The 22587-nt window shown below is 35.1% G+C and overlaps 1 protein-coding gene across 9 annotated transcripts in view; it reads left to right on the forward strand.

The window, feature by feature from the left end:
- Window positions 1–22587, forward strand: part of SNX7 (sorting nexin 7) — a 99182-nt gene that overhangs the window by 69828 nt on the left and 6767 nt on the right. For 6 of the 9 annotated variants that reach the window (XM_017001425.3, NM_001364903.1, NM_015976.5 and 3 more), the window contains one exon: window positions 7091–7243. The exons of the other annotated variants lie outside the window; for them this stretch is intronic. In XM_017001425.3, coding sequence (XP_016856914.1) covers window positions 7091–7243 — 153 coding nt within the window. The remainder of the gene's footprint in view (window positions 1–7090; window positions 7244–22587) is intronic. 9 annotated transcript variants of the gene reach the window in all.

Genomic DNA, 22587 nt, shown 5'->3' on the forward strand with positions numbered 1-22587 from the left:
CTGCCTTTTTTTTTTTTTAGAATGAACAAAAGAAAACTCCAAAGTATAGGAATACTGTTTTTTATAAGAATAAAAATTTTTTAAAAAGTATAAGAATACTGTTTTATTTAGCTTCAAGTGCCTCAAGGAACTATGTGCTTATTGGATTGTATCTCTCATAACATCTACCATGTGACTGGCCCATAGTAGACAGGAAGAATATTTATTAACTAAGTGAATGAACTTCATAGTTTTAGTTCATAATTCTCACAAAGTAGTTTTCTTGGTGAGCATGAGCTGCTTCAGAATTCCCTCATGTTGCCGTCTTTGTCTTTGGACTTCAGTAGAAAAATTTTCAGTTATTTTTCATGTCAAACTTTCCATAACTCAATTACTATACAGTCATATGTTATTAAATGATTGGGATATGTTCTGAAAAAATTTGTTTTTAGGCTTTCTCATCATTGTGTGACTATTGTAGAGTATACTTACACAGCCTTGAGATGTCATACTCTGCTGCACACCAAGGCTCTGTGGTGTAGCCTGTTGTTCCTGAGTTAAAAACCTGTATAGCATGTTATTTTAGTCCATTGAAACACAGTGGTAAATATTTGTGTATCTAGACATAGAAAAAGTACAGTAAAAATAGCATATGATTATCTTATGGAATCACTGTCATATATGCAGATTGTCATTGACTGAAATGTTGTTATGTGGCACATGACTCTACAAAGTTTCCTGAATTTGTTTGCATTTCTTATTAACTTGATTCTGCTATGGGTACATCAAACTTAAAGCTTTTATGTAATTAAATGTAAGTTTTCAGATAGCCCTGAAAGCTTAGCACTTCAAAATGCAGATGGTCCCTGAATTCTGATGGTTCCATTTAGGATTATTCAACTTTAAGATGGGGTTACCGTTTCTATTGAATGTGGTTGGCTTTCTCACTATCCTAAAGTCAAAAAATCCTAAGTTGAATGATTTTAATTTGGAGACCGTCTGCTGTGTTGCCAGCATTAAATACATTTTTGGCTTACAATATTTTCAACTAACAGTGGGCTTATTGGGAGGTAGGTGTAGCCCAAAAAGTATCTGAGATGTGTCTTAATCCATTTAGTTTATTTTGCCAAGGTTAGGGACATGCGTGGAGGAAATAAACATGGAATCACAGAAACAGTCTATGGCCTGTAACTTTCTCCAAAGATGATTTTGAAGGCTTCAGTATTTATAGGGGAAAAGTGGGCTGGAGGGGAAATAGGGAGGGTACTGTTATCCACTTGTTGCAAGAGAAAAGGAGCAGGTAGGGGAGTAGTCAATTATGTATTCCTCTCCGTCTCAGTGATGGGCACTTTACATAAGATAAGGTGAACATAGAGTAGCGACCTGTGGAGATAATTTAATCTTTTTATCTATAGGTATCTGCTTAGGAACAAAAGGAAAGGCAGCTTCTTGCATGACTCAGCTTTCAGCTTAATTTTTTTCCTTTAGCATAGTGAATTGGGGTTCAGATTGGAGTTTTTGTTTTCTTTCACATCGGTAAGTCAAGAGCATCCATAATTGATTGTATCCAAAGAGGTATCAAAGAGGTCAGGGTCAATAAATAAAAACAGATTTATATATTTACGTGTTTGAGGAGGATTATCATTTTAGAGGACCAAATGTTTTAACAGTTTCCAAATGAACAGATTCCAAATCAGTTTAAGCATCATTGAAACATCAAATAAAAAACCTTGATAATGGAGAGAGGTCTCTCCCAAAAGAGCAGAGCTGCACATCAGTTTTACTTATTTCCTTAGACATATTCCTGTAGCTTTTAATTTAAAATGTCAGGTCTGCTTCGGTGCAACTGGTATGTCAATCGGTGTATCCATATTACCTCCCAGCCTGCCCAAACCACCCAAATTAGTGTAGCAAAGTGTTATTGGAAGCTTCAAAGCTTAACTTTAATCTTGATTCCTGCTAGCCTCCAAAAATTCTTTGCTCTGTATGCAACTGAGTGGTTTTGAATGTTTATATAACAGTGTCCCTCACTTTGCGATACTATTTGGCACAGTGAATGTATTACCACTGTTAACCTTCAGGCCATCATCTCCTATCACACCCTACGGTATTTGTTCTTCCAGTTAACCTTATCAGCAATGCAGACTTTTCTCTCAGTGCCCACCATCTAGATCAGGGCTAGACCCTCCTGACTCTGCCTCCTAGCATTTCAGTTGCTGCTTTTCAGTTTCTGTGGCATCAGGAGTCTGATCTTTACCACTGGTCTCTAGTCCTCTTTCTTAAACTCCTTCAGCGCCTCCACTTGTCCTCTGTGAAAAGACGAACAACCTGCAGGAGAAATCCCTTTAGGACCTGGCATTGCCTGCCTCTCTGTCCTTTTCCTTAGCTCTTCACCTACTCGTACTCTAGGTATCAACCTTAAAGAACTATCTGTAGTTCTTCAGAAACTCCAAGGTAAACATGCTTCTGTGAACTAACGTCTGCAGTTTGCTTTGCATGAATGCCTTTCAAGTTTCCTTTTCCTGATTACTTATTTATTTCTCCCCATTAGCATGAGTCTGTGAGGGCAAGGTCCATTTCTTCCCCCTCCATTTTCGTTCCTAACGCAGACTAGATGGATGCTGAGTGGAAGCTGCTGGGTGAATGAGTGAGAACCAACCAGATCCTCCCTATTGCTTTTTATGGTTGATTCCTTAGTCCCATTTCAGATGAACTGGTTTCCTTTCTTCTCCTCCTTTGTTTCTCTCTTAACAATTTCCACATATCTCTGACTCAGTCTGTCTGAAGTACAGCTCTGCCTTGATCAAAACCTTCAGTGGATTATCATCTCTTGCAAAATCCTTTTCATGCTCAATATCATTTCCAGCCTTTACTGGTCAGTCTCTAATATGCATTTGCAGCTGTATTTCCCATGCTTCTCCTTGCCAACTCCAGACCAGCCTCTTGTCCATTCTTCTGTCACACTCTGCAGCATACTATTTCTGTGGTTGTGTTCATATCATACCCTCAGATAGGTGTTTCATTGTCCCAGTCACTGCCTAGTGAATTAAAAGTCAAAATGTCCCCTACCCCACAATCAGAATCAATCTTCCATTCTGTATCTGTAAATACCACTTCTACGTTTTTCCTTCCATTATGGTATGTATCCCATTCTACTTTTTATTATAGCCTTTGGTTTTTTGCTTTACTTTTGTGTATCTGTATCTAATTGATTATCCTTGAGATAACAGCTATATCAGTTTAAGCTTGAAAGCCACAGACAAGCTTGTCCAATCAATGGCTGGTGCTATTCAGTCCGTATGAATAGAGCATGTGTCTTGACTGGCAGACATCGGTTTGAATCCCTAATATGCCACAAATAGCTATATAATCTCTGCCTCTTCTTTCTTCTAGTTTCCCAGCTTGTAATAGGAAGATGATAATACCAAATTTGTAACATGCTTATGCAGATTAAGTGGAATAATGTATGGAAAGCATATAGCCAATGACAGAATGCAAAAAATAGTCATGATTACTGCTGTTACTGTTACTATAGATATGTAGTCACCATCGTAGAAACATATTGTTTTGTTTGAGCTTTTAGAATTAATGACTTTGTGTGGCTAATTTCTAGCTGAATATAACTGAAGCTAGAAATTACCCATTAGTCTTACGATTAAATATAAAGCATTTTTTCACTATCTTACAGTCTTTTATTATTACTTATTTTGGCATTACAACGTTTTGCTGGCAACAAGGGTTGCTTGCTTCTTCAATTTTTCCAATAACAGAGGGCTAAACTGCTGTCAGTACTTGTGAAAAGAAGAATAATACCAAGCCTTAAATCCTATCTAGCCCAGTCTTTTCCATGCTATTTTGCAGTATATGGATTGAATTTCCTATGGTTAGAGTTATTGAAACCCGACATCTGGTGTTGGAGGGAACAATAAAATACCAGAAGGACTTTAGCCTGCCAGTGGGCTATTCTCCCCCTCAGATTAACTTTTGTTGAGTATATTTGTTCTTTTAGAACTTGGATGGACAGCACAGTCAGAATGCATAGTCTTTGTACCAAAGAACGTAGTAAAATTGAAGTCAACTAAGGGGAAGGACATCTAATTATATTATGCTTTTGTAAGTTGTTAGGAAAGATATAGTGCAGATTATTCTTAATTTGAATTAGGTGTTTTGTGCTTATTATGTTAGTGTTTCTTAGAATTGAAATTATGGAAAGATGATTCACTGTGAGGAAATACCTAATTTTTTTACCTTCCTTTTTTCCAACTAAACTTATGAATAACTCGTCAAAGAAAGAAGAAAACTCTGATATAGTCACCAAAAAATGACAAGAATTGATCATACATATTTAAGGCATATGTGTCATTTTCTGCACTGGTGAAAATAGATTGAGGAAACTGCACTAGAAATTGACTTAATACCTAGACACTAGTAGAAGAATGACATATTACCAGAGACTAAAATACTGGAAGAAGACAGTGAATTAATGTCATTTTCACCAACTGATGATGATGGTGATGATGGTGGTGAGAACATTTAGTAGGCAAATTTTCAGGCCCTGTGTAAGTCAATTAATGGTCATTGTTTCATGCTGCAGTTTTTATAAGAATCCCTATGAAATGTATGTTATTATTTTACCTTTATTTTACAGATAAAAATACTAGGGCTTCAACAGATAGTCTTACCCAATGTCACATAACTTGTAAAAGACAGAAGTGGGACTTAAACTGAGACCAGGCTAACCTACTGTCAGTCCTCTTAATCCCAATGCTGTACTGATAAGGCTACAGTCCTTCTTTCTGCAGGTGACAGTGAGGGCAAAGTTCTGAGAGTGAGTTCTTAAGTTCTTCTCTAGGAACACAGTACCTGTTGGTTAGAGCAGAGCCACCAACTAACCAGACCACCACTTCAAAGGCTTTAATGAGGGAGATTTACAGATTGACATGAAAAAACTCTCTGCAGTAAATCCTTTCTGGCAGTGACACCATTATAAGCTCCATCAGGCAGAAGAGGAAGATAGACTATGTGATTTAGACACAGTGTTTCCTGAAAGCCGATATCAGTAGAACCACTCTGTTGGCATTCTATGCCATTGCATGGCAATTTAAACTGCAAAGCCTAAGCAGAGGAGAGTTAACAGTGTGGTTACAATTGATGTACGTACCCCTTGATCCTAGATGGAGGCATTCTGTTAATAATCCCCACCTGGCTCTGCAAATGGCAGGATTCCATCCAACAATCCAGAGGAGGCTCTCTAACGTCCCTGAGGTCTCCTAGCAGACCCAGATCCTGTTTGAGTTTGGCCTTTCAACAATTTTATTATGGCTGTGGGTGCCTATTTCCAAACACCCACAGCCTATCATTATTAGTTATTCAGTAACATCCCATTAGACATGTTCTTTAAGATTCAGCAAAATACCCAGAAGACTACAGATTCCCATACAGTATTCTCGCTGATATAGTTTGACCCTACAAACTAAACAAGAGAGTGAAAAAATAAAACACAGACACAGACATGAAAGTCAGCCTTTCTACTGAAATACATCTTACATTGGTCATGAGAGATTTATGTAATACCAAATATCTATTATTTCAGAAATGAAAGCACACATGGCTGCTGTGAAATAAGAACAGAAGTGAAATTTCATATTTAAAAAGGAGCTAATTCAAGCATCAGAAGTAATACATTTTATTGGTTCTAAGACATTTTTACATTTTAGCATCTTGAAATGGGAATTCTTTTTAAAAGATGGCCTCTCACAAATACTTTGTCATGAAATGGTAGTAACATATAAGGCCCCTTTTAAAACATAAGAGAGATGATGTCATTTTTGCTCAAATCTTCCTGGCTTTGAATCTCCATAAAATCCAAGAACCTTACCATAGACTACATGGCTCAGTGTGATCTGGCCACTCACTGCTTCTCTAACCTCACTTCCCAGGACTTTTCCCCTCGCTTTTTTTTTTCTCTTTTTGTTGCAACCATGCTGGTCTTTCCGTTCTTAAATCACCTAGGCATGCTTCTACCTCCAGGTCATTGCCCTTGGTGTTTCCTCTGCTGGGAATGTGTTTCCACTGAGAGTCCCATGGTTCATTCTCACATCTACTTCAGATATTTATTCAAGTCATACTTATTTAGGCTTTCTCTGGCCACCTTATCTAAAATTGCAGCATCCTAACATTCCCTGTCTACCGTTCTGCTTCATTTTTCTCTTTAGCATTTATTACCAGCTGACAGTTCCCATTTTTTATTTACCTTGCTTGTAGTTTGTCTCTCCCCAGTACAGTATAAGCTGTGGTAAAAACAGGGATTTTTGTGTATTTTCTTCACTACTGAATCTCCAGGTCTTAGACGAATGCCTGCTACAGACAAGACACTTAGTAAATATATACTGAATATATGAATAGCTATAAATATAAAAATACATATATATGAATATGCCAAATATAAAAGAATAAATCAATGGATTACATGCTCAAAAGTTGATAAGGTGGGGAAGAGGGTAAATATTACACTAAGCCTGTCCAGTGGCTCATGGTCTAGGATTTGGGCATCTTGAATTATAAACTTGCCTCTGTTACTAGCTATCTGAGTAGAGTTTGCAGGTTAATCCCCTGGGCCTCCAGGTGGGACTACAGAGTATGGATGTTATAACCTCTCAGTTAGTTGAGGCTTCAGCTAAAAACCATTAAAAAATGAGGGCCAGAATGGGGAATCTGAAGTGAAAGACACCATATCTTTTAATATAAATATTATCACCAGAAATGGTAGTTGTAAGGAGAGTCTTAATACAAAAGACTTTGGAGTTAATTTTTGGTTCAGTTGCCTTTGTTTTATAAATAGTGAAACTGAAGCCCAGGATTTGAGAGACTTAGCCAAGGCCAGGTGCTAATTGGTGGCCAACCATAGAACTGTACTCTACAACCCTGACTCAACCTGACTGAACCCCTGTTCTTTTTACTTTAATTAGTACACAGAGTAAATACTGGTGATTAAAAACAAAAAAGAGTTATATTTAGGCTGTTTTGGTATTTTGTTCAACTTAAATTTGATGAATTCACCTGATGGAAAGAATTCATAGATCAATGTATCTCTCTTTGTGACTTAATTCAGCTTCCAGAGGAGATTGGAAAACTTGAAGATAAAGTGGAATGTGCTAATAATGCCCTGAAAGCAGATTGGGAGAGATGGAAACAAAATATGCAAAATGATATCAAGTTAGCATTTACAGATATGGCTGAGGAGAATATCCATTATTATGAACAGGTAATTAGTGTTGTTTGATATTGCTTCATTTTAAAGTTATATGCTCATTTACTTTTGGTCCGTCCAATGTTGAAAGAGTGTATTAAAGAACAAGTGTCACATTCTAATGCCTCTCTGGTAGCTTGGTTTTGATGAAGTTGTCAGTTACCATTTGGTTTTGTTTATCCTCAGTTTGTTGTTTTGGATTTGGATTCTTCAAAAGCATTTGATAATGCTTTCTAATGATTGTCCTAACTACTCCTCTTTCCTCTCCCTTCTCCATTTATGAAGAGTTTGCAAAGGAAGGAAAGGAGCAGAGACTTGAATGAGCAGAAAATCATTTCAGGGCCTGTTCTCTATGTCCTTGCTATCCCTGTCTTCTGTAGCTATTCTGAAACCATCAACAAAGGAGCACACCATTCCATCAGCAAAAGAGTAACAACATCTTTTTTTAAGTTCATTTTGTTTTTCAGATGATTGTATTTCAATTTTTTTACAGCTGACTTTTCTCAGAGAAGTTTTTTTTTTATTGTAAACATACTTTTTCTAGAAAGTATATTTTAAAATAACATCTTTAACCTTATCTCTGGCTGAATTAATGAATATATGAAATTATTACATTAACAAAATTATGTCTTACAGCAGTGGTCCCCAACCTTTTTCGTACCAGGGACAGGTTTCATGGAAGACAAGTTTTCCTAGGTGGGGGGCGGGGTTAGTTTCAGGATGAAACTGCTCTACCTCAGATCATCAGCCATTAGTTAAATTGTCATAAGGAGCACGCAACTTAGATCCCTTACATGCGCAGTTCACAATAGCGTTCACACTCTTGTGAGAATCTAATGCTGCCTCTGATCTGATAGGGAGTAGAGCTCAGGCAGTAATGCTCACCCGCCGCTCACCTCCTGCTGTGCGGCTGGGTTCCTAACAGGCCAATGACCAGTACCAGTCCATGGCCCAGGGGTTGAGGACCCCTGTAATTTATAGTATGTAGTGCTTATCCGTTTAAAAGAACTTTAAACTGAAATATTATATATCTTGAAAGATTAACTGATATTGATGTTTTTATTCACCAAGAGTTAATTAAGCCCCTTCTATCACCAGACATTGTGCCTGGCCCTGGAGAGACCACAGTATGCAAGACAAACACAATCCGTTTCTCATGTAGTTACAGCCAATGAAGGAAACAATCACAAAGAGAGCATGATAAAATGGTATAAGGTTCGGTATAGAAAGACATTGCAGGGTCATATAACCTAATCTAGAAAAAATAAGGATATGTTTATGCAGAGACCTGAATGATGAATAAGGAGTTGCCAGATAAGAGTGTGAGAAATGGAGTTGGAGCAGAGAAAACACATGCACAAAAGTGTAGAAGGGAGAGAGAACATGTTCAGATAACTGAGGTTCCATTTTGGAGGAAGAAGGAGTGAAGGTAGTGTTGAATTGAAAGATTAGGCTGAAGAGTGCATTATAAATTTATTCTTTTACCTTTAAGGGAAATGGGAGCCATTGAGTAGTTTTCAGGAGGAAACTGACCGGATCAGACTTGCCTTTTGGAAAGATTGCTCTGACTGTACATGGGTCAGAGTTAGGCAACACTGGACATGATGAGACTAGTTAGGAGGCAGGAAAGGCAGAGATGTGAACTGACCTAGGAGTTTCATGTTAGTGGGCTAGAGATTATGGAACAGATCCATGGTTTTGTTTTGTTTTGTTTTGTTTTTTAACTAGGTAGAACTGGAAAGATCATTTTCTATCTCTCCATAATTTTTTATTCTGGTAACAACCCTAAGTAAATTCAAGTATCTAAAATGAATTTCCCATAAATCTCAGATTTTGAATGATATAAAGTATTTCTTTTTAATAAAGCACATTTATCAACATAAGGCTTTATTACCATTTAACTGTTTAAATCCACAGAACTAACCTTACCTCTCCTTTATAGTAGAACTTGTCTACGCTTACATTACAGAATTGTTAAGAAAGTCAACATGTGATGAATAACAAAACAATAAAACCAAAATTTTAATTGAGATAATTTATAAGAAAATGCCTTAAATTAAAGCATGCAGTTTTCTATAAATGATTACAAAACCTAAGTATATTAGGGTATAAAAATCACATGACAAATGCACTTAATATTATTTTCCTTTAAATGTTAAGATCTGCCAATTTTTCTAAATTTGGATTTTTTTAAAAGTGTTCATAACAATTCCACAGAATTTCAACTAAAATGTTTGGGTTTTTACCGTACTTCTCACATAAAAATGTATTTTTTTTCAGTCTCATTGATTGAATTCAGTTTATACAAAATGTTCCTTTCTTAGAAACAGCTAAATGAGCATCGCTGTGCCATATTGCAAATTTTGTTTTTCACAGCAGTTTCTATCAGTGTGTGATGTTTTTAACTCTTTCCCCAAGTGTACTACATTTCTAAATGTTACAAAATTATATTGTGTCCTCCATCTTAAATGTATAAATTTGGAGGGATCATTGTTTCTCTTTTGTATAACTTCCAGAGATCCTTATAGCTCCAATTGTTTGTTGAATTTTTTCCTGAGTGGAAAACTTTTAACAGATTTGGCACATCAGTCCAGTAAAACAAAATCAAGAAGTTGGAGCCCTTAAATGATCAGGGATTCTTAGCAGAAAGATTAAGGCCTAAACAGCAACAATCTGTCACTAACTATTAATATCAGAAAATCTCAGATATACAGGGAAGTGAAATGTTCCAGAGGTCATTCATTTCCTGTTTAATTTCATCACATTCTAATGGAAATACTTCTTTTTTCATCAGTATTCCCAAAACGGTCTGTTCCTAGTGTGATGGATGAAACAGGGTATACATACATTTGCCTTTGGATTTACCTGTATTAAGTTCTGGTCACAGATTGTTTAGAAATTAAAAGTTAAATATCAAAATGGCAGAGGGAAATTATATTATAAATACATGGTATGGGTCTGTATCCAACTCCAGTTATTATCATATTGTGCAATAATTGTGTCATGTTATATTTAGAGGCATCTATTACATCTAAGAACATGTAATAATCAATGTCATGTTGTACTTAGATGTATGAATTTATTGGGAGAGAGTTGATTCTAAATCCAGAACAGGTGTCTCAAATGAAACTTTTACTAGGTAAAATGATGTTGTTCCCATTTTGTTCTGTATGACCAATAATTAAGGATAAATGTGTTGAGTCTTTTTAAACAAATGAATAACGAAACAATAAAATTACAAATCCATTTGAGCAGGGTGAATGATTTCAAAGTATATTGATACCCAAATAATGAAAGAAAATGACTTCCTGCTAATGTGAAGGGATTCTAAAACAGTAAAACATCCATGCCCTGGATACAGGGCATGGATATTTCCTAACTTTTTTCTTGAAGGTGCAAAAGAATATCTGCTTTGTTGCTGTCAATGCTGATGATGCTAATGATGAAGGCTTGAGAGCAAGTGATTCCTGGCTGATCTTATGAACTGGAAGAGCACATTCTTCTCAAAGCTTTATTTTAATATCATTGAATTCACTTGGCTATCCAATGTCCTCTTACAATTAGACTTTGAGGGCTTATTTGGAAATTCTGGCAGGAAAGTGCAGCTATTTAGGAACTGCTTTAGAATAGCTCTGGACTTGGCAACAGCTATTAATATAAAATAGAACAATTACCTTTTGTCAGTATGAGCACAAAAAATGGGGAACCATTTACCCAGTCCAGTGAAATCACCTTTGTTATTAAGGAGGTGACAGACAGCTCTGATGTCCTTTTGGTCATTTAATGTCTTTGCTTTCTTTGTCTCTAACACATCAGGGACAAGGTGGATAGTAAGAAAGGGTAGGGAATTCACAAATATTCCCAATGATGAGGGTAGGGCTAGTAAAGGGAGCTATGTTCAAAGGTGTCTATGGCACATAGCAGATTCTTAATGTGTGCCTGCTAAATTACCATTTCTGAGTACCTGCTGTGATCCGGCCCTGCTCTATATCTCACATGTGGCATCTCACATGACCGTATCTGTTACTCTTGGAGATAGCGCTGTCCTCTCTGCAGTCTTGCTGGCCCAAGTTTCTACTAATGTTAATTTTTGCCAAATTACGCAGTTTGTCGTTAAGTGAATATGATAAAGGAATATAGTTTATTCCTTTGCATAGCTTATTTTATAATATAGTTCATTCCTTTGAATAGTTTATTTTAAAATTATTAGTAAATATATGGAAATGCTTGTTTTATTATCTTATTTTTCTGGTTATAAAATTAATACAGGCTCACTGAAAACAATTACAGCAACAAAAGCTCAGTACACAAATGTATGATGAGGATAAAGAATACCCATATAATCCTTTCTCCTAGGGAGTGGTTCATTTAAATATAATTATAGAAAATAATTTGCTATTTTAAGATTAAATTATTGTTAGATTTTCTGCATGGGTCTTTGGAATGTGTCAGCATAAAAACACATATGTTTACTTATTTTGTGTCACAATGATTAAAATGAATAGTATTTTGAGTTCCATATTTTTCATTTATTTTACATATGTTTCCACATAGTGTCATAATTTTCTTATGATACATCATACTGATGTATATTTATTAGCTTAGATAATAATAGTTAAACATTTGTTTTTTTTCTTTTCTTCTATCATTACTATTAAAAATAATTATAAATATTAGCTTTTTGAAAACTTGGTAAGAATTTCAAGAAATAAGCAGGTCTATCTATGATTACTGCATTTCTTATTCTATCAGTCTTATTTAGGAATGTCAGTTCCCTCATGTAAACTCATTTATGTGAGATTCTGTTATCATCAAAGCCCTGTGCTAATAAACACAGGGGTGGCGTGGCATGGGGAGAGGTGATCCAAATTCACACTTAAGTCTTGCTGTTAGGAGGCTAAAGTTGATTAGGGAAAAATAATATATAAAAATATTTATTCATTTATTTGATTAATACAGCCCTAAAGTTATTTTTTTCTAATGGTGAAGTATTTAAATTAGTTTTTTTGCTTGATTGTAATGGATAGACTGAATAAAAGGTTCTACTCTTAGCAGATAACACAAATATATTTATATGGACATCTAGCAAGCAGAAAAACAATTCTAGCAAAGGAAAATTTCTGAAAGATTTTGAGGAAAAGAAAAAAATCGTTACAAGGGTATCTGTCTAGCCAGATGAACAGTACTACTAATGTTTTCTTAAAATCCAAGTCTAGTTATTTATGGCTCATTTAAAAATTACAGAAATTTTGTAAAAATAGATCTCACAGCAGTCCTCTAAAAACTAAGTCTGAATAAGCACTGAGTGTCCAGAAGGTTCTTCAAGTGTAGTTTTACTTATTTAGGGATTTATTTCTTGTTGTGTTGGGAAAATGGTGAAATAAATTCTAGTGACATGGTTGTTTGTTTTAAACTTAATACTACACTACATACTTCGGAACATTTTGTAGATTTTGTAAATATTTACTTGAAAACATCCTGGTCCAAATTAGGACAATTTCCAAGTATTCTGACCTTAAGAGGTTAAACTATATTGATAATGATGATAAAACTGCTACCTAAGCAAGATTTGGATGGATGGCATTTAGATTCCTGTCAGAAATTTCATTCTATTCAAAACTGAAAATCAGAAAAAGTATTGATATGTGCTCATCTGTGAGTTGAAAGGAGCAATGAGGGGAATAGTCTCCCTAGACTTAATTCTGATTAACAAAGAACTGTTATCTTAACATGACAGTTCCATCAGGAGACAGTACTATTTCCAGAATCTGGGAGGTGAAAGCAAAGGAAGGAAAATTTGGCCATTCTCAGTCATATTTCCTAGAATTTAGTAAAGTAGCTTAAAAAATTAGATAAAAGTTAGTTATACTTTCTCAAAATCATACACTCTAAATGAGAATATGACTTGAGAGGAGTGGACAATTCTAAAAAGTGAAAAGAATGAAGCAGGTGAAGAATCTGACACAATTGTACCTGTGGACCATGGATCATGGAAACAAAGATGATAGAGGAGGATACAGTCAAGAAGGAATACAGAAAAAAACAGGCAATGTCAGTGAAAGCATATGTCAGGAAGAAGAGAGTTTTGGGGGAAAAAATGTGAAGAGTTTCCAAACAGCACCAGAGTCAAATGAGAGTAGGTATGAGGAGCATCTCTGGAAGCAAGAAAATTAGGAATTAATATGTTACCAAAAATATTAATAAAAATGAATTGCTAGTGGAAACTGTGTAATGGAAACTAAGAAAACAGAACTAACTCATTTCTATTTCACTGCTGTTTTCTCCATGAAGGAGAATGAAAGTATAAGATGAAAGGATTAGGCAAATACAAATAAACGTTAACTAAAATCCAATACATTTGAAGAGGTAATAAAACAAAAACTATCCATTGCTGCAAAAAAGAGATGGCTGGGTATCTTCTGTTTTTCAGTGAGTGGTGCAAAAGCCCACCCTTTACCAACCTGAAAGCAGTACTTACAAAGCCCCAGTTGAAGCCCTTAATTCTAAATTTACTCATAGAAGGAAGACTGACAGACCTTTACTTACCCAGAAGAAATGCAGGCCATGTTACTTTCCTAGGTGAATCCTAAAATTACCCCCAGAGAAGGTTTTCAACAATACTGGAACAATGTTTCCAAAGTAACCTCCTCTGTAATTTCTGATACACACCATGCACAGTCATCTAATACTTGCTCAACCCTTTGTCAATAGCCTGTCTTAGAGAAGGATGGATATGGTAGGAGAGTTACCCAGATAGAGTTGTTCAGCATAGTTTTGAGCCTAAGAAATGGCAGGTAGTGTTTGAGTTTTCTTTTAAATTGTTGCAATAGAGGTGTAATAGATGGTCTGTATTGAATCATTTTTTTTTATGTTGGCCATAAAAAAGGCTCCTAGGCTGAACCTCTGTCAAGAGGCACATTCTTTAAAGTTAAATTCTCTTTCCTTATTATGAAACAAAGAAGTTGACTAGAGCTGGAATAATCCGGAGTTATCCAGGACAGGGAATTTTGAATCCATAACAAGGTGCATTTCTTTTTACAGTCATGCCTCCTAATAGTTACTGAAGCCTGACCTAAACCCTAGACCTCAGGAGACAGACGCCCTGATGGTGCTAAAATGGGCCTTCAGAAAAGAGCAGTCTATATCTTTGGAACTATGTGCAGAATATCTCAGAACTACATTATACACCCTAAAATTGAATAGATTCCACTTACATGTAGGCTATATTTCTGGCAAAGCAAACACACCAGCTTGAGAGGATAAGAAGCTTAGAAGTTTACTCAGTCTAGCCATTTTTATACCAGTTAACTTTTCCAATTCGTTACATCCTTGTACCTGCATTATCTTACCGTCTTATTCATTGGGAAGTACTCACTGGAAGCCTGAATGCATTAAGAAATTCAGGTTACATCATTGCTACTTTTCTGTGGATCATCTAATTTATTTAGGGATGATCATCAAAAGGAAAACAACAACTTTTCATCTTTTTAATGCCATTAAATGGCAACACATTTAATAGAGTTTTCTCCTTGTGTTTCGAGAGCCCAGCATTGTTATTGATTATTTAATGATTAACCTTGTCCTTTTAACCAAATATGTCACTTTTTTGTTGAGCAATCAGTTCTTTTTTCAAATAGAATCTGAAGGCACATAGAAATGATCAGAGCAAAAGATACAGAAATGGAATAGCCTTCTGTGATTCTAGAACATCTTTGGAGGCAAGCCACCATAGACTCCGAGAAACTGCCTTCTCAGTTTGACACATTATTACCAGGAAATTTGGATAAGTGAAGAAGCAAGAATTGTAAGCTGAACTCAGGGAAATCTACATTTAAGACATTTCACAAATAACTTTTTAAAAATTGACTATTATAAATATCAGAGGAAGTCCCTGGGCATAGTTCTTTGGGTCTCGAATTATTGTATATTTGTGGTATACATGATCCTACAATCCTTTACTTCCACTGATAGAGGATGGCAACTTGATAGCCAGATTACTCCCATTTAGGTTATACTGTTTCATTTTGTTGGAGAAGGTTGGCAATGCATCTTAGCCTGTTTTAAGTTTCTAAGAAATTCTTAGGAAAGAAACCTAGTCACCTTTCTTTATCCTCTCACATACTGAATTTGTTTGCTCACAGAAGCCATTTATGGAGTAATTGTCTGAAATGTTCTCTAGAAAACAGGGAAAACACATGATAGAGATATAAGATTTCTAATGCTCATTAGAGTGTTCATTTTAACACCACTTGAACGAGCTTGGGTAACCATGAGGTCTTGACAGAGTAGATTTTAATTCAACATGGCTTAAAACACTGCTCTGTTATAGCCAACTGCCTTTGAACTTATGTTTGCATAATTTGATGCAACTTTTCACTGATGTATAGATGAATATTCCCCTACCATAGCAAATAAGAAGGTAAATATTATCTTCTATGTTATTGATAAGGTCCTGCTTTCACATTCCGGGAGGTAAATCTAAAATCTAACTAGTTTCTTTCTGCAGGAATCTTTATATTCAAGCCAAAGTTAGTTTGAATAAGATAATCTTTAGCATGGAGAATGATAATATGCTTTTTAGAGGTCAATTTATTTAATTTTCTGGGTATTTGTTTTGGTGACCTCTTAATTAATTTTGAAAAAAACTTAATTTTCTTCAAAAGTTAAGTTTTATGAGAGTCATATTAAGGTCCTGTTGTATTAGAAGACACTTCTGACTTAAAAAAAGTAATTATTAAGTAGTTAAGCAGGTTTATTTACTAAAGAAGTTCTCAGAGTACTTTATGTGCTTGTATGGTTGTGATTGTGAATCTGAAGACATAATAATTTTCTTGACTAGATCAGTGTTTCTTCTTGCAGAATGAGTGTTCTACAGAACATAGTTTGGGAAATCTTGGGTAATAGTGTTGATCTCTAATGCTACTTTAAGTGTGGACTGATATTCATTCCATAAGTTATTACAGATTCAATTTAGAAGTTGAAAGTAATCAGTTGGAATCTTCGATAGCAATTAGACATTGCCAAGACAACCAAGTAGGTGATTAGGAGGTTTCACTTGTTGAATTCTATGGAACAATTCAAATATTGTCCAGCTTTTGTGGTGATTTGCATGTGGCATGAATTACAGACTAGTCATGGCCAGTAAGACCATTTAATGGTCCTTAGATGACTGAAAGAAGAAAAAACAAAACAATTGTTCTTCACCACAGATAGTTTAAGAAGCATTGCCTGAAGTTCCTTCTGGTTTTTACAAGTCTGTTGATCTCTTACACTTAATATAGTGTCCTTTCTCATTTAAAAGTTTATAGTCGATTTAATATTGAAGCATCATATAAAGCATGTAAAACACAGTCAATGGTAGAATTAAGTTTAAATGCAGCAGGATTTTATTTTTATTTATTTCTAAAGAAACTTTAGAATCAACTAGTTGTCATTTTTAGAATTCTTAAGTATTATGTACTTATTTTGTTGTTTGATTAAGTGTGATTTCTGTTCTGAATTAAATTTTCAAAATCCATAGCTATAGCTCATGTTTCCATCTAGTTTTGAACCTTTTATTATGTGTCGTATAAGTCTTAAATATTTTTGTTTTACAGGTTTTTACTTTTTTTTTTTTTTTTGAGATGGAGTCTTGCTCTGTCGCCCAGGCTGGAGTGCAGTGCTCCAATCTCAGCTCACTGCAACCTCTGCCTCCCAGGTTCAAGCGATTCTCCTGCCTCAGCCTCCTAAGTAACCAAGTAGCTGGGATTACAGGCACCTGCCACCATGCCTGGCTAATTTTTTATATTTTTAGTGGAGACGAGGGTTCACCATGTTGGCCAGGCTGGTCTCAAACTCCTGACCTCAAGTGATCTGCCTGCCTTGGCCTCCCAGAGTGCTGGTATTATAGGTGTGAGCCACTGCACCCAGCTGGGTTTCTGCAGTCTTAAAAACTTCAATTGAAAAATATTCTCATCAGTCCCCTATATTCTGTAATGTAATTTGTTCTCGATTATCTATGCAAATAAAGTGAGCCTAGGTATGAAATAGACAGTTATATCATGGCATAGTCTGTGCTTCTTCCCATCCTTTGGGCTACATAAGTTTTTATGTAGTTAATCAGGGATTTGCGTAGAAGGAGATTACACATAATAATGAAATAATTTCTAAAAATGTCTAGTTTCTGAATCAAGGACATTCTGCTTATTGTGCTTTGTAAATGACAGACTACATACTATGGGCCAATATAATAGTTTCTGTATAGAAAAGGAAGAAATGATTTAAACACACACACACACACACACACACACACACACACACTGCATTTTATCACAAATAAGAAAGATGGGTCTTCTAATGGAAAAAATTAAAGTTGGGTACCATGATGCCTGCATTAGCTAATTATAAAGTCCTAATCATGTCTTCTCTATATACCCAGTTTGCTAAACTGCCAAATAGAGGTATTCCTCCCTTCCCCCACCCCATATCCCATTCACATACACCCCTTACAAGTCTTTAGGAGAATAAAACTGGAACACATATATAACATGCTATAAAATAATGTGCTTAAACATCATAGTTGCACCTTAATAATTTTCTAATAATCCAGAGGTAAATGTGCTTATCTGTACAGTTGGTTGTACTTTCAGCGTATGCTAACACAAAAACAGATAAGCTTGATGTCTGAAGTGTCTAGCATTAAACTGGATAAACTTCATGTAATTGGCTTAGCTGTAAGTAAACAACAATGATGTGGTATAGAAAAAGTATGAGTTTGTAAGGATATGAATTTAAATTTTGGCTCTTACGTTAATTTCTCCTATAAAGATTTCCAATATATTAGACCTTTCAGAGCCCCAATTTCCCCATGTATAAAAATGAGAGAAATGGAATAAATTTTATCTAGGGCTCCATCTGTCTTTATCAATCTTGAGTTAGACATCTACAGAATAATGCTACAGAATAATAAAAAAATGGACCACAAGATGGCGTTTGTAGCTAATGAGTCCTTTTGCATTAACTATCTGTGTTGCAGTCATTTAAATATTTGCAATAATTACAAGTGTACACTTATCACTTACATTCTTGAGAGATATGTAAAAGTAATTTTTAGAAAAATAATATGCAAATCCTGTTATTTTTAAGTTATTGGTATTTCTAAAATTATAAGTTGGCAGATGATTCTCAGAAGCTGAATTTAGACTTTTCCAAAAATGAAATATAATGAATAATTTTGAGCTATTGCAAAATAATAGAAGTTGTTTTTCTCTGGCAATATCAACTCTAATTTCCAGATTGATTACATTTCAGAATTTGAAAATATGTAGCTCCTGAAAGTTTTAATTAGTGTTTCAATTTTAGGTTTAGGAGATTTAAAAAGTTACTAAAATGTTACACACCCTATTGCCCTCATTTTAGGCATAACCTAATAATTTTTATAGATGATAAATAATTTCGTGGTGCTATTGGCCTAGTATAGAAATGATTGCGAATTTGGGCTTCAACGTTTTCTCAAATGTAGGTGATATCATCTGTGTCCAGGATCATTTGAGACAATGTTAAAATACTTAGAAGAAACTCAGTCATATTTCCAATTGGTAGCTTACTGAGAAAGATGTAATTATCATGGTACTCTCTCTAAAAGTTGCTTTTTGATTAGAGGTGAAAAGTAGAAGCACAACAGCTTTATATGGCTTAATATGGGAATTTCCAGTTTTAAAATAAATATATGGGAAGGTGTGGCTTTTACATATTCTATAATAATAAGTATCATTATTATTATTAGGTAAATGTCTAGTTATTTTACTTTATTACCACAGAAATATATAATTATATTTTATTTTGACTTATATAATAATTCGAATGAAAGTAAATTTTCTATTAGCTGTTTCTGTCAACAGTGTGGTGTCATTACCTATGGCGATATCAACTTGTTATGTAGGCATCACATGGTGGCTAAGGGGATGGGCTTTGGACAGGCATGACTTCTGACTTTTAGCTGAGTGACCTTGAGGACTTTTTTTATTTTAGTGAGCCTCAGTATCCTCATCGATGAAGTGATGAAAATGCCATAGATTTGTTTGGGTGTTAAAATATAAATGTACATGCATATACATATATGTATTTATGGAAAGGAATATGTAAAGATGAAAGAAAAGTCTTAGAAGCAAAGTTTAACATTCCCAGTGAGTCACTAAAAATAGTTTATAAGATTTTATGCTCATCAGGTATTTCCAGGAGTCTTAACCAGCATATGCCTTAAGCCACTAATTTTACTTGAGCCCAAAATTGCCACCATAGAAAATAGGTTTCAAAGCTGCTAAACGAATGAATGAATGAATGAATGAAAGAAAAGCAGTTAACTCAGTGTCTAATAAGGATTCAGTAAATGTTGGCTACTAGTAGTACTAGCAGCTGTAGTGGTACTGAAAATATTTCTCATATATTTATGAATCTTATATTTGGAAATTATAATGACAGTTATCTTATAAATACCAAATGCTAGGAGGAGAAGTAAAATTTTATGTTTGCTGTATTCCACGCTGGGTCAAGCAAAGCAGAGCGAGGCATATTTATACATTACATATGATTTCATTTGCCAACTTTTTGTCAGCCACAGTTAGCCTCTGGAAATCTTCAGTTTTAGTTCTGGGATGAAGCTTAATGGACACACATAGTTCAAACCCCTTACTATGAATAGGTAAACAGGCCCAGAGCAATAAAGAAATTTGCCTGAAGTCACACTGTAGGACAGAACATCTTCATATCCCACAAGCTTGAGAAAATAGTGATTCTCAAATGTGGAAGCTTCCATTGAAAGCTGTATCGTATCTGTAGAAATACCATTATTGTCACCATTTACTCTTTAGAAAACTTGATCACATCTGCTTGTGGGATTACTACCCACTTATGAGAGCCGAAGAGACATTTACCTCTTCTAATGCAAAATGTCACCACCTTTACTGAAGTAGCAAGAGATTTATTTTCAAAACTGAAAGTCAGTTTTGGAATTAAAACTTAATTTTCTATGTATTCCATCTGTGTGTACTGCATTTAGGAAGGTTTTCAGCCTGTGTGTAGAAACAAAAAGGCTTTGTTTACCTGTTGGGTCTGTTTTCCCCACCTCTGGCTCACCTTCCTGTGGTGGCTCTCTTTCTCTGAGTTCTCTCCTCAAAGAGAAATTGCACTTGACTTTGGCTACAACTGCAGCCACCTGGGGGAAATGTGTACTGGATTCTCAATTAACAAGGATTTGTGATAAGCTTTTTTTCTGGTCAACCCACATCCTGGCTAATTGCATGTATAGCATATTTATCAACTTAATTTTTTCTGCAGTGAGAAGGAGCTGTTCACCATGGTTTCATGTAGTAGAGCACTGGAAAAAACACAGTACTGCACTATGAGAGTCAGTTTTCTTAACTGTAAAATGAAATTACCTGATTTCATCAGAAGATTATTGCATGAAATAAAACAGTATGTATGGAAAATGATGACATCTTATTCAAATGGAAGTGGAACTCCTGTTGTTCTTGGTTCTCCCATGATAGTATGAGAATCCAAAGCTAGAATGAGCTAACCAGAACTATTAAATGTCAGGCCAGCAGTGATGCTGGATATTTTTTATTACTACTCTGATTTTGACAGATACTAACTTTTTTCACTCACTGTAATGATTTAAAAGTGAAAAAAAATTGATGACAATGCAAAGCCAAATAACAAATAGAAACATGTTTTAAAAATACTAACTTATAAGCAAGTCTCACACCAGGTTTTGAGATTTTTTTGGTTGTATTAATGATTCTTTATATCCTCCAATTATGATCCTGAGGACAGTAAATACTCACTGTAATAAATTACCTAACTATATGGTATAAACAATATATTTCTTGAGTTTTTCCTTAGGTTTCGTACTCAAGAGCAAAGAAATTTAAGGAGCCTTAGAGATCATCTTTTTGTTGTTTATAAAGATTTGTGTACATTAATTTGATATATGTGCAGGATATCAGGTAACACAGGTGAATATTAAACATTGGTGGAAACAGGCAATTACATTTATTTAATTAAAAATCGGCTATCAAGAATCCCAAAGTGATCTGGTAGCGTCAGGAGCTGCATAGTTCAAGGTCAGATTCTCAGCTTTACAGGCCTAGAAAAAAACCATATTGGTCAGCAACATGAATGGGGATCGGGCTCTTAGGGCAAAACTTAATATTTACATGTTTGGAGAGCAATAGAAACCAAGATATCAGTTGGTTAGTGTTCAAATAGAAAAGTGCAGTTTTCTGATGGCCAGCATCTTAGCATCAGTTGTTCAATATATTCCTTCTCTATAGAGTCATCTGCATTTTCTGAGCACTTACCATATTCCTGGCATGTATTAATTCAGTCTTCTTCAAAGTATAGATCTGTTCCTAGAAATATATGCAGAATTTCCAAGATATATAAAGGGAATTAATTTCCATACCCTCACCTTTTGTAAATACTCTTTCCTAAAATGTGATCAGCCTGATGCCCCTGCAGTCAGGGTTTCTTACCTACTTCTCCTTCCAAAATCATCCTTCTACTATGTGAAAGAAAGGCATCTCATTCTCTTGGCCCAGTGACTTATTAAATGTACCCTGGTGATGGTTCAGGACATTGACTATCCATTTGTTAATGGATAAATACTGGCATACAATTTACGAGATTTATCATATAAACACACTTAGACCATTTGAGCCTCAGCTTTCTCACCTGTAAAATAGGATTCACAGTAATCATTATGAGGCTTAAAGAAGGTGATACATAAAGCAATCATTATAATGCCTGACCAAGTATTCATATCAGTATATGGCAGTTGTTAATGTTATTTCTGTTGCTATCCTATGTCAGTTGTTCTATAATGTTCTGTATTTCAAAACACATACTTTTTCTGCCTCTGGTATGGAAGATAAGGAAATCGTGAAGTAGCTAATTTGTCTGTCTTACCATGTTTTACTGTCCCTTTTAGTACTTAATTTAGAAAGGAAGATGTTAATTCACATCACTAATTAGCATGGACGACTACTGAATATCTTAGATCTTTATTAAACTAGTATCGTTAATGCAGAATATGAAAATGATAGGAGTTTGTTCACTTGAGGGCTAATGCCATCTTTGGTGCAATTTGAATCACTTATTTGACAGGAATTCTAAATAGAGCAGACTGCTTAGAATTTCATTTTGAATTTTACCTGGAGAATGTTCAGAAGTTTATTTAAATGATAGTTTTGCAGTTATTAAAAATATATCTTCTGAAAGTAGTAATTGCTTTGGGGCTGCCCTGTAGGGGTACCAGATACAAGATTGTGTATGGGTTTGCAGAGAGCAAACCAGAGCGGTCTAGTAGAAAGATGGTTTGC

This window comes from Homo sapiens, chromosome 1 (genome assembly GCF_000001405.40).
Source record: "Homo sapiens chromosome 1, GRCh38.p14 Primary Assembly".
In the NCBI taxonomy this organism is placed as follows: domain Eukaryota; kingdom Metazoa; phylum Chordata; class Mammalia; order Primates; family Hominidae; genus Homo; species Homo sapiens.